Source organism: Homo sapiens, chromosome 8 (assembly GCF_000001405.40).
Source record: "Homo sapiens chromosome 8, GRCh38.p14 Primary Assembly".
Classification (NCBI taxonomy): domain Eukaryota; kingdom Metazoa; phylum Chordata; class Mammalia; order Primates; family Hominidae; genus Homo; species Homo sapiens.
In genome coordinates this window covers 142,244,247-142,256,686 of record NC_000008.11, presented here as the reverse complement: position 1 = coordinate 142,256,686, position 12,440 = coordinate 142,244,247, and the positions used below count along the sequence as shown (strand labels likewise).

Below are 12,440 nucleotides of genomic sequence, written 5' to 3'. Positions count from 1 at the left end.
GGAATGCCTCAGGATTGCCTGTGAAAGCATGTGGCACAGTTACTTCTGCTGATTGTGGTGGTGGTGGTGGTGGTGATGATGGTGATGATAGTGATGGTGATGGTGGTGATGATGGTGATGGTGATGGTGGTGATGGTGATGGTGGTGATGGTGATGGTGATGGTTGTGGTGGTGGTGATGGTTACAGTGATGGTGATGGTGGTGGTGATAGTGATGGTGTTGGTGGTTATGGTAATGGTAGTGGTGATAGCCATGATGATGGTGGTGATAATGATGGTGGTTGCTGCTGGTGGTATTGGTGATGATGATGGTGGTGATGATGGTGGTGATAATGATGGTGATGATGATGGTGGCAAAGATGGTGATGGTGGTGATGATGGTGGTGGTGGGTGTGGTGATGATGGTAATGGTGGTGGTGATGGTGATGGTGATGATGGTGATGGTGATGGTGGTGGTGGTGATAGTGATGGTGATGGTGACAGTGGTGGTGGTGATGATGGTGGTGGTGATGGTGATGGTGGTGGTGATGGTGACAGTGGTGGTGGTGGTGACGGTGATGATGGTGGTGATGGTGATGGTGGTGGTGATGCTGACAGTGGTGGTGGTGGTGGTGATGGTGATGGTGGTGGTGATGGTGACGGTGGTGGTGACGGTGACAGTGGTGGTGGTGATGGTGATGGTGGTGGTGATGGTGACGGTGGTGGTGGTGGTGATGGTGATGGTGGTGGTGATGGTGATGATGGTGGTGATGGTGATGGTGATGGTGATGGTGGTGGTGATGGTGACAGTGGTGGTGGTGGTGGTGATGGTGATGATGGTGGTGATGGTGATGGTGGTGGTGATGGTGGTGGTGGTGGTGGTGGTGATGGTGACAGTGGTGGTGGTGGTGATGGTGATGATGGTGGTGATGGTGGTGGTGATGGTGATGGTGGTGGTGATGGTGACAGTGGTGGTGGTGGTGGTGATGGTGATGATGGTGGTGATGGTGGTGGTGATGGTGATGGTGGTGGTGGTGGTGACAGTGGTGGTGGTGGTGATGGTGATGATGGTGGTGATGGTGGTGGTGATGGTGATGGTGGTGGTGATGGTGACAGTGGTGGTGGTGGTGGTGATGGTGATGGTGGTGATGGTGATGGTGGTGGTGATGGTGATGGTGGTGGTGGTGGTGGTGATGGTGACAGTGGTGGTGGTGGTGATGATGATGGTGATGGTGGTGGTGATGGTGATGGTGATGGTGGTGGTGATGGTGACAGTGGTGGTGGTGGTGATGGTGATGGTGGTGGTGATGGTAATGGTGGTGGTAACAGCCATGATGATGGTGATGGTGATGGTGCTGTGGTGGTGGTGATGGTGGTGATAATGATGTGGCTGGTCTGGTAGGGATGGTGGTGGTGGTGACACTTGGTGATGGTAGGTATTAGGGTGATGGTGTTGAGTCCTCCATACTAGGCACTGCATAGGGCACTGGGAGAATGGGATAAAGAAAGTGACCTCTGTCTTACGGTGCTGAGTTCTTACTGACAGGTTCATGGGGCTGGGGACAGAGTCCCCACCTGCCTCACTCCCCTTCAGCCGCTGGGGGCCTCTGTATCTGAGAGCTCTCCTCTTGCCCCCTGCTGTTCTCTGTTATGGGACAGGGATCTGCCTTCCCCACCTGGCCTCAAGATCCTCAAAGGTGGCTCAAGTCTATCCCCCCAAACCACCCAGGCAGTCAGCACAAGGCTGGGCTCAGAGTGAGTGTCCAGGACCTGTTGGAGGGGCCTGGCCCAGGGAGTGGCAGGCAGGGGAGGGCATGGGGCGTGCAGCTTCAGCACCAGAGCCCCGGGTGCAGCACCACCCCTGCGAGAGACTCTCCTCCCCTTGGCCGTCCTCAGCCCAGCAGCCGCCTGCAGCACTGTCTTGTGTTGTCCTCATTCTGTGGATGTGAGACTGAAACTGGGGTGGGGCTGGGACTTGCCCCCATCATGCAGCTGGCAGGTGGTGAGGCCAGGGTTCGAGTCCAGGCCTCTCTGATGCCCCGCCTTCCCCATATGCCGGAACACCTCTCCCACAGCCAGCATGGTGGGGGAGGAAGCGTGTTCTGCCAGGGGGTGCTGGAGGGAGGGGGATGAGCCAGAGAAGGGGCCGCTCAGGGAAGAACATGAGAGGTGAAGCAAGATGGGTCCCACGGGGATCCCCTGCCACTGCTGTGTACAGAGGCGCTGCTTAAAGGCCCATCGCTTTCTGGGAACTCAGGAAGCATTTCTGTCCATCTGCAGGCTCCAGGTGGTTTGGAGTGTTGGCCAGGTGGGCTTGGGTCCTTCCTCTGAGCTGGTAGATGGGATGTCTTCTGCAGACAGCAGCAGCAGGCAGCAGGGAGAGGCCGGGGCATGGGGAGGGCCTCCGTGCCAGGAAGCATGGCCCCACGGGGCACTGGGGAAGCCAGTTGCAGCCTCTGACTCCTGGAAACCACAGCAGAACTCAGTTGGCTGTACCCTGCCTCCTGCAAACAGATATAGATCGGTTTCATTAAAAAGCCTTAACACACTGCCAGGCTTCCAGCCGGCCGGGCTCCCGGGGCCAGAGCCCACGGCTGTCTGGTGCCTTCTGCCAAGAAGAAGGTGGAAGGGAGGCACAGAGCATTTTATTGCTCTCTAAACGAAAAGCCAAGAATATCTCTGCGTGGAATTGATTTCTGTCTTCTGGAAAAGGCTTGGCGTCTTCTCTCAGCCCTGCCTTCCTCCTAGTCCAGTCTTGGGTCTGACAGGGTCTGGAGGGATCAGTGGGCAGCCCTGGGTCGGGGGAACCTGAGGGCTCCACCTCCCACCTCCCTCACCCACTGTCCTGTTCCGGGCTCGGGAGTCCATGAGGGTGGCGACACACAACATGGGCCACGTGCCGGGCCCCTGGGAAAAGGCTGGCTACGCGTTCCCACTGACCAGCCGCAGGGTCCTGCGGGAGGGGTCACCATTGCCACTTGGGGATGAAGTGATGGAGATTCAGCGAGGTCACCCATCCTGCCTGAGGCCTTGCAAGGAAGTTGGTGATGTCAGGGCAGAGTGACCTCGAGGCAGGGGCAAACACAGAGCCCAGCTGGTGACTAGGGGGTGACCGCCCTACTGCAGTGGGTCTATGCCCAGAATGGCCACTGGAGCTGGTGACTGGGGGGTGACCGCCCTACTGCAGTGGGTCTATGCCCAGAATGGCCACTGGAGCTGGTGACTGGGGGGTGACCGCCCTACCTGCAATGGGTCCCTGCCCAGAATGGCCACTGGGGGTGGTGACTCGGGGGTGACTGCACCCTCAGGGTGGCAATCAGGAAGGCCTCATGCCCGGAACCTTGTCTGTGCCTTTCCTGGACTGGGCCCTCTGACCCTGTGCAGACGCGGCACGCACGCTGGCCTGTGCCTCGCTTGTTGCTTGTGCTCGGGAGGTGGCCCAGCGGCCCTGCTTCTGCAGGCACCGCCGTCACCACTGCTGTGACTCCACGGCTACCGGCCCTCCTCCCGTACCCGTAGTGCCAGCCTGGGCTGTCGCCAGCCTGTCCACCTCCGCACTCTCACCCGTGGCAGAGCCCAGTCTCCTTGCCAGGCTGCCCGTCCGGTCTCTATCCCAGATACTGCACCCGGGAGTGGGCACATCCAGTCTGTGAACAGGCAGATGCCCTCCTGCAGGCCTGGGGAGGGGACGTGGGCAGGGCAGGGCAGAGGCTGGACCTTGTGTCCTGCTCTGAGCATCCCCACACCTGGGCCGGAGTGGACGCAGAGCAGGCGTGTCTGTGCTTTGACTCAGCCAAGCCTCATACCTGCCCCACTAGGGCAGTGGCCAGGAAGCAGTGTCCCATTGTGCAGAGGAAATGGCTGAGGGGTGGGGAGGGGAGGACCTGCCAGGTCCACAGGGGAGCCAGGATGGGGGCTCGGGGCTGAGGTCACCACGGCAGCATGCTTCCAAACTGTTGCACACAAGAATGGAGACAGCAGGGGTGGCTGGAAGTAAACAACGGCCCTCGCAGTGCTATTGGCACTTCCAGGGAAGGATAAATGCTTGGAAGTGCCCTGACCTGGGTCCTGGCTGTGTTACTTGCTTGCTGTGTGACTTTTGACAAATCGTGTTGTCTCTGAGCCATTTCTTCCTCGCCTGGAGCTTTAGGAAGATTGAGCGACACCATGCAGGTAGCTCCTGCTGGGGCGCTGGGCACAGGCGGCTGCCGCTTCTTCCCCTGACCACTGTCGCCGGCAGCACCACCTCAAACCTCAGGGCAGGACGGGGAAACCAGCCTCATTTACAGACGCGGGAAAGAGAGGCTCAGAGAGGTTCCAAGGCTTGGCCTGAGACACACAGCCAGTGGGGGGCACAGCCAGGACAGAGCCAGTGCCCTGGTACCGGGGGGGCCCGGCCCTTCCTCCTCCCACCCGCAACCCATGCATTACGAATGTAGGCCTGCTTAAGAAGATGAAGCAGCCGTCTGTTTACCTCTTGACAGCAGAAAGGGAAAACAACAAAATTAAACCAAACAAACCGCCCAGATATCAAACAAGCTCTCTCTCAACGTGCGTGCCCTGCAGACAGAGAACGCGGGCGGCGGGTACATGGTGCCCGGGCCCTGCAGATAGAGAACGCGAGCGGTGGGTACATGGTGCCCGGGCCCTGCAGATAGAGAACGTGGGCGGCGGGTACATGGTGCCCGGGCCCTGCAGATAGAGAACGCGAGTGGCGGGTACATGGTGCCCGGGCCCTGAAGACAGAGAACATGGGCGGCGGGTACATGGTGCCCGGGCCCTGCAGACAGAGAACGCGGGCGGCAGGTACATGGTGCCCGGGCCCTGAAGACAGAGAATGCGGGCGGCGGGTACATGGTGCCCGGGCCCTGCAGATAGAGAACGCGGGTGGCGGGTACATGGTGCCCGGGCCCTGAAGACAGAGAACGTGGGCGGCGGGTACATGGTGCCCGGGCCCTGCAGACAGAGATCGCGGGTGGCGGGTACATGGTGCCCGGGCCCTGCAGATAGAGAACGCGGGCGGTGGGTATATGGTGCCCAGGCCCTGGCAAGAGGCACTCAGTGAAGGGTGTCGAAGGCTCCTCTCATAAGCCGGGCCCTGTCTCCAGGCAGGAATGTGACCAGGGCCTGATGTGTGCTCTCAGAATACAGAGGGTGCCAGAGCAGTGCTGCTCGGACGGACAGGAGCCTGCCGCACCCTAACTGGGAGGACAACCTCTGCCCTGAGCTGCTCGTGGGCCCACTGCTTATGGGAGGTGTCGGGATGCTGCAGGAGGGGCATGAGCAGCAGGGCCACGCTTTGCAGCCCTTTCTCTCAACTTCCCTCAGAAGGATGAACCAAGTCTCTTTTCTTGATTGTGGCTTTTGTGGGGGGAGGGGGGCGGGGTTCTCAGCCCTAGCTGACCGGAATCTCAAACTCCGACACTGCCTGAGCCAGCAGTGTGTGGCATGGGGGGCAGGCTGCGGTGTGCAGGGGGGCCGGGGTCTGGAGACTGGGAATCTGGTGGAAGGCGGTGGGGGCCTGTAGGGAGAGTCTGGCTCTGATCCCAAATGCACTGGGCTGGAACTCCTCACTTGCCTGCCCGGTGACTCTGGGCCTCAGCATTTTCGTCTTTTAAATGGGCACATGATCCCCAGCAAACCCTCTGCCTGGCGAGCTGCACCAGAGCTCTGAGCTCCAGCACCATGGGCAGCTCCCATGACAGCCCGCTGCTCCCTGGAGGCTGAGCCGCCCTTACGGGGGTTTCCTTGGCCTTCCTTTACTGGGTCAGGCCTCGGGCCTGGACAGTGGTGATTCATGCTCATCCCTCTCCGAGAGGCACAGGCAGGGAAAGGCTAGCCCCTCGTCCGTCGGCTCCTGCGTTCAAGGCAGTCTGCACGTGGACTACGTCCATCACCACGGCAGCTCCTTGGAGCAGGCAGCCTTGACTGCAGGTCAGGGAAGCAGGGCTGGCCAGCCTTGGGGTCAGCTGCCTGTGCTGCCATGCCCTCGGTGTTGCCTTCCCCACGTCTGCAAGCGCCTGGGGCTGCAGCTCCATGCTCCCCAGCGCCTGTTGCCTAGCTGCTGCTTCAGGTGCATCCAGCAAGGGCTCATTAACGCTGCCATCAACAAGACAGATGAGAACGCTCCGAAGGAAAACAAGCGGCAGCAGGCTACTGCGATCGGGCCTGGAACCTGCTCCAGATGCCTTCACTGGCGGGTGAGTGTCCGCCTCACCAAGGAGCCCGCGACGCTGATGGCTGTTTTCCCTCTCCCCTGGCTCAGCCCCCACGCCGCTGCTTGGAAAGGGATCCGGGATTATGCAGAAGCAGGGATTATGCCTTGGCACCCACTGCTCCAACCTCGCACCCCAAGGAGCTCTAACTCGCTCCTACTCCAGGGGAGGAGGCCTCATTAGAGCGCCATTTTTAGCCTGGTGAAGAGCTCCCCCATGTCCCCCAAATTTGCATTTTTCCCTCAAAATGCTCTTGCCGCTGGCAGGAGAATGGCTGTAAAAATCCGAGAGGAGCACATGGCTGGAAGTGTGAGTGGCTGCCATGTGGATTTCATTAGCTCAGGGCCTGCCTGCATTAATGACTCCAGCACACTGCTGCGCTGCCGGCCTGGCTCCAGCAGGTCTCATGCGGCGCACTCTGAAGAAGGGCATGGGAGGCCCAGAGAGGTCTCTGGAGCTGCCCAGGACCCCTCAGCAGGTTTGCGGCAGAGCTCGGCATCCCCCGGCCCCCACTCCCCAAGCTCAGAGCTCTCGTAGCCATCAGCCCAGGCTATTAAGCTGCAGTCACAATTGCCCCCAGGTTGCGGGTGTGATTGGTGCTGGAGCTGCGAGGCCACCATGGGCCGGTCTGGCTGTGGCTTTGCTGCCATGCTTCCCACTCTGGGACCCCAGCTCTCTCGAAGACATCATGGGCTCTAGGTAGTGAGGGAGAGGGAGGAGGAGTGCCACGGTCTCCCTGAAGGGATCTGCTTGGAAACAGCACATGTCACTGCTGCTCCACGGCATTGACCAGAGCATTTCTCATGAGCCGGTCCTGACGCGGACGGCCTGCCTGCTGCAGCACCCTGGGCGGAGGAGGGAGAGGTGCCGTGAGAAGGCAGCACAGGCTTATGAACAATTATGCAACCCACTGCGTGCTTGAAACCGCTGCCTCCGCCCCAGTCAAGTCCTCTCTGTTTTGGCTCCCATCCTCCCCACTTCCTTTAGCCTCTGCCCAGGACCTGCCCTCCTCGGGGATCTTGGGAATTGCCACCCAAACCCCCCTTTCCAGGTCGGCTGTCCCCCTTCCTAGTAGCCACCTCCTGCTGGGTCAGGGCTGGGCCCCAGGCCCACCTCTCACACACGCTGGCCTCGGCAGCCTTCCCGGTGGCCCTTCCTGTTCCTTGCCGGCTGCCCAGCCCACCCTCTGCCCACAGTTCTCCTCCAGGGAGAGAAGCCGCCTGGCACAGGCCTGGGTCCACCGCCCTCACCCCGTCCGGATGACGTCCCTGGGGTTTGTAGAGCATATCTAGGCTTCTGGTCTTCAGCCCCTTCCTCATGTTATAAATTGGGGTCAAGCCAATGGCAGAGTCGTAGCGTGGCCCCGTGAGGAAGGGGCATTGGGCGCCTGCTGTGTGCGGTCTGGCGGGGGCCCGGTGTCTGCCTCAGTTTAGTTCCTGTTGGGGAGGTAGCATTACTGATGGAGACTCAGGCTTTGAGAGGTGGATGTCCTGCCCAAGGCCACAGGGCTGGCTACCTCCAAAGGCGTGGCCCTTCTAGAAGTGGAGGAGGCGTGGGTAGTGGGCGCAGCAGTGCCCTCCCTGCTGAGTACCCAGCCCTGTGAGCGAGGCCCTCAGCTGCCCCCTGCTCCCGAGAACCATCCGTGACTGGCAGGAGCCTGCAACCGAGTGATACAGGGCAGCAGGAGGCTGGCCTCTGTTCCTCCAGGTGGGAGACGTGGAGCCCCCGTGGGCCAGGCTCAGGGCAGACACTGTCTGAGCCCAGGATGCCCTGCTTCCCCTCCCTCCGGGCTTCTCAGTAGCTCCACCTCCGTAAACCAGACCCAGACCCCAGCCCAGATCTGCTCCTAGGGAGTCCACTCTCAGCGCCACGAGTCCCCAGTTTCCAGACCATCTGCAGTGCCAGGAACCTACTCTGCCCAGAGCCGGCCCCACAGGGCAGCATTTGGGAAGCACTTCCTGCCGTCTGGGGGCCGCGTTCTCAGCCTGGGAGCTAGACAGAGATCAGTGAGGCAAGAGCAATCTTTATGAGTCTGAGAGAGAGAGAACACCAGGAGCCCCGTGGGTGCTGAGTTTCTGGCTGGGGCTCTTTGTCCCGTTACTCAATCCCTTTAACTCCTCTGGGGAGCTGTGCGGGCATCCTGGAGCTGCCATGTTGGTGCTCTCAGAGCCCTCTTCTGAACTTGGGTGTCTTCATCCATTTGTGCTGCGAAACAGAACACCTGAGACTGGGTCCTTTCTAAAGAGCAGAGATTTACTTCTCACAGCACTGGAGGCTGGGAGTCCAAGGTCCAGGTGCCACATCTTGTCCGGGCAGGGTCTCCCAGCTGCGTCCTCAGGTGGCAGAAGGCAGAGGGCGAGGTGGAGGATGCTGCGTGAAGCCTTGTAAGGGCCTTGGTCCCCGTCATGAGGGAGCAGCCGCCAGGCCTCATCACCTCTCGATACCGTCACGGTGGTAACACCTGGGTTTTGGAGGGGCCATTCACACCTTTGCATTCTGTACCTAGCCCCCAAAATTCATGTCCTTCCCACATGCAAAAGAGCATCATTCCATCCCAGTATCCCCCATGCGAGCTCGTTCCAGCACTGGCCTTTAAGTCTAAAGTCTCATCCAGACACCACAAGGGTGCTGGGCATGGCGGTGGTGCCTGTAATCCCAGCTACTTGGGAGGCTGAGGCAGGAGGATCGCTTGAGTGCAGGAAGTCTGGGCCCCTCAGGTGTCCACACTAAGTTCGGATCTATATGGTGATCTCCTGGGAGCGGGGGACCACCAGGTTGCCTAAAGCGGGATGAACCAGCCCAGGTGGGAAACAGAGCAGGTCAGAGCTCTCGTGCTGATCAGTAGTGGGATTGCACCTGCGAATAGCCACCCCACTCCAGCCTGGGCAACACAGTGAGATCCCATCTCTTAAAACATCACATGGGCGAGACTCAAGACATGTTTTGTCCTGAGGCCAATTGCCCCCACCCCCCACTATGAGCTGTGAAATCAAACAAGTTATTCACTTCCAAAATACAAGGGTGAGACAGGCATAGGACAGACATTTCTACTTTGAATGAGAGAAACAGGAAAGAAGAAAGGGGTCACTGGTCCCAAGTAAGAGTCCAAAACCCAACAGACAGACAACATTACATCTGAAGCCTTGAGAATAATCTCTTTGACTCCATGTCCCACCTTCTAGACGCACCAGGGTGGGGGCTGGACCCCGAGCCTCGGGCAGTAGCGCCCCCAGAGCTTTGCTGGGCTCAGTCCAGGCAGCCGTTCTCATGGGCTGAAGTTTCGTGCCTGCAACTCTCCAGGGCTGGTGGATCTATAGGTCTGGAGTCTCGGCGGTGGGCACCCATCTGCTGCTCCCTCCCTGCTTCCCACACCTGCCCAGGCTCAGGGCTCTGCTGACACCTTTGGCTCAGGACTGGCATCGGGGTTTCTCCAGGAGGAGAGAGCTGCATGTACAGGACATCGTCTGGCCATAGCTGGTCGCAGCACCTGGCAGGCACAGATGTGTGTTCATTGAGAAGGGGAAGGATTGGAGAGACTAAGGAATGACTGAGGGCGTGCTGTGGTCACTTTCAGATGGCAGCCTTCATGATGGTCTTTGCTCATCGCTGCCTCGCACATTCTCAGGGTGGTGCTGATGTGTAGCAGGTGCTAACACAGGTTGGTGGGGATGACTGGAAGGAGGAGTGTGTCTGGCCACTCAGAAGGCAGAGGCACAGCAGGCGTTTGGGCTCAGGCCAGCCTCTGCGGCCTTGAACGGTTCTCCCGTGTCTGCGCATCTCACTTCCCAGGTCCTCGGTCATCCCTCCGTTCTGCCAGCCTCCACGGGGAAGACGAGGGGCCCAGGGCTCAGGGAAGCCAAGAGGCTTCCCCAAAGCTACACTCGAGGGGCAGAGCCAGGTTTGCACCCCGTCTGCTTGACCCTAAGTCCAAGACCCAACCTTTTAAGCAGTCCAGGCTGCCTCCTCCTCCAGGGATGAATGAATGAATGAAGCTGGGGTTGTGTCCAGGGGAGGAGGGGGCATGCCAGGGAGGGGGTGGGCAGAGGTGTGGAGGCTGGCTCCTGACTCCTCAGATGGGGGCAGGCTGGATGGTGGGGGGCAGGGACAGCCAGCAGCAGGAGGACCTGTGGCTCTGCCCAAGAAATGGGCCCTTGTGTAACTTGGAAGAGGGGACCTGGCCCACCAGCACAGTGTGGAGCCCTCAAGAGGACCCTCAGCCCAGCCCTGCCATCTCCTGGGGGTCCCCCAGCCCTGCCTTCATGGGGGTAGGGGTGGCTACAAGGTGCTGCTCTGCCCTCCCAGGGCTGGCCACTGAGGACAGGCCCTGGGTGCCCTTGGCAAGTGGACACCCTCTTTGGGACCCTTATGGGACGGGGGCTGTGGAACCGAAGAGTGGGGAACTCTCCTGCTGGGAAGTCCTTAGCTCCAAGCTCTGCTGTGCCGTGTCTTTGGATAATTGGAATTGCGGAATTAGCATGTTTGGATCTTACAGCAGTGGAATTTTGGAATTGTGGAGAAGGTTACCTGTAAGGGTTAGAGGTAAAGTCTGTACAAACCCCTAGCTTGTCTCAGTATTGTTGTTGCATGAGCTTTTCCTGATCTGTTATTCAACAGCCACACCAGGTTGTGTGTAGCGTGTATTTAGGATATAAAGGATAGTGTCTATGAACCACCTCCTAACCCAGAACCAACAGGACCACTGCTTGCTCCTGGGAGCAGCCCTGCCTCATCGCACCCTCTGCCCTCACCCCAACCTAATCTTGTCCCCAAATTGCGTGTCTGTTATTCCATTGCTCTTATGTAGTTTTAAATGGTTTTGTCTTATTTTATGCAGGAAATGTTGGTAAGATGTATTCACTACTAAACAATGTATTGTTTGGTTTTGCTTATTTTTTAGCTCCTAAAAATTGAGCCATACTATTAGTATTCTTCTGAGACTGGCCTTTTGTCATCCAGCTTTGTTTTGAAGACTCATCCATGTGCTTATGCATAGCTACAGTTCATAATTTTCGCTGATGCAGAAGATGACATTGTGTGACCCTAGCATGATTTATATCCATTCTCCTCTCAATGGATGCGTAGAGTGTTTGCAGTTTTTGGTGAAAAACCAGCACTGCTCTGAGCACACTTGTGTCGGCTGCTGCTCTGACGAGCATGTCTCCAGCTCTCTACTAAAGTGTGATCCCTGGGTCTCAGGGACGCAGTTGCTTCCCCTCTGTCAGCTGAGACTGAATTGCTTTCCAGCCATGTGGTTATTGCATTTTCACCAGCAGTAGACGAGCTCCTCTCAATCCGCTCACTGGCTATCTTGTATTCGATATTGTCAGACTCCTCGATTTTTGCCAGTCTGCTGGGTGTAAAATAGTAACTAAGTGTGGTCTCCATTTGCATTTCCCTGATTACTAACGAGGCTGGAATTTTTCATGTGTTTGTATTTGTGTTTTGTTCACTGCGAAAAGTCTGTTCATGCCTCTTGCCCATTTTCAAAATTGGATTGTTGGTTTTTTTCCGTCGTAATGATGGTGCAGCGTCTGCACACAGGTGCGTGGGCTCCGACCTCAAAGCCAACACTCTCTGAGTCTACACGTGTTGCAAATGTCCTCTCTGGCCGATGCCTTCCGCTGCAGGTGCAGGAAGGCCCCTTGCCGGTCTGCCCTGCTCCCTCTGCTCCCCTGCGAGTGGCAGGTTCTGTGCCAGCCTCCCTTTCCGCTCTGTGGGCTGCGGTAAGCGTCTCTCTCCCTGCGTCCCCGCTCACTGTCTTAGTTGCTACTCTTCCGTATGGAACGATGAGACCTGGTTGGGCTGGCCTCCACCTCCCGGATTCGTTCTAGGAGTGTCTTGGGGACGTTGGCCCTCGCTCTTCCATACGTATTTTAGAATCACCTTGTCAAGTTCCATAGATAACCCTGTTAGCATTCTTATTGGCATTGCATGGAATCTGTGGATCAATGTGGTCAGTCTTATCCTCACGATGGTGAGTCTTCTTGTCTGTGAACATAGTATATCACTCTGTTTACTGACGCCCTCTTTAATGTTTTAAAATACATGTAAGTGATGATTTTCTTTATATATCTTTCTTTTTTGACTTATTCCTAAACATATATTTTGTTTGTTTCTATAAATGATGTCTCATTTTAAAACCACATTTTCTAATTGGATGTGGCTGATATATAGAAATGTGTGTGATCTTTGTAAATTGAGTGTATAGTCAGCCAAGTGTTCATTTCTCATTATCTCTAATAATTTG

At 57.6% G+C, this 12,440-nt stretch overlaps 1 protein-coding gene and 1 pseudogene across 3 annotated transcripts in view; both read left to right on the top strand.

Annotated features, from left to right (window-relative positions):
* The window catches only part of TSNARE1 (t-SNARE domain containing 1), a 194,950-nt gene that overhangs the window by 150,343 nt on the left and 32,167 nt on the right, over positions 1 to 12,440 (top strand). The gene's annotated exons all lie outside the window — the stretch shown is intronic.
* Positions 8,821 to 9,102, top strand: RN7SL260P (RNA, 7SL, cytoplasmic 260, pseudogene; annotated as a pseudogene).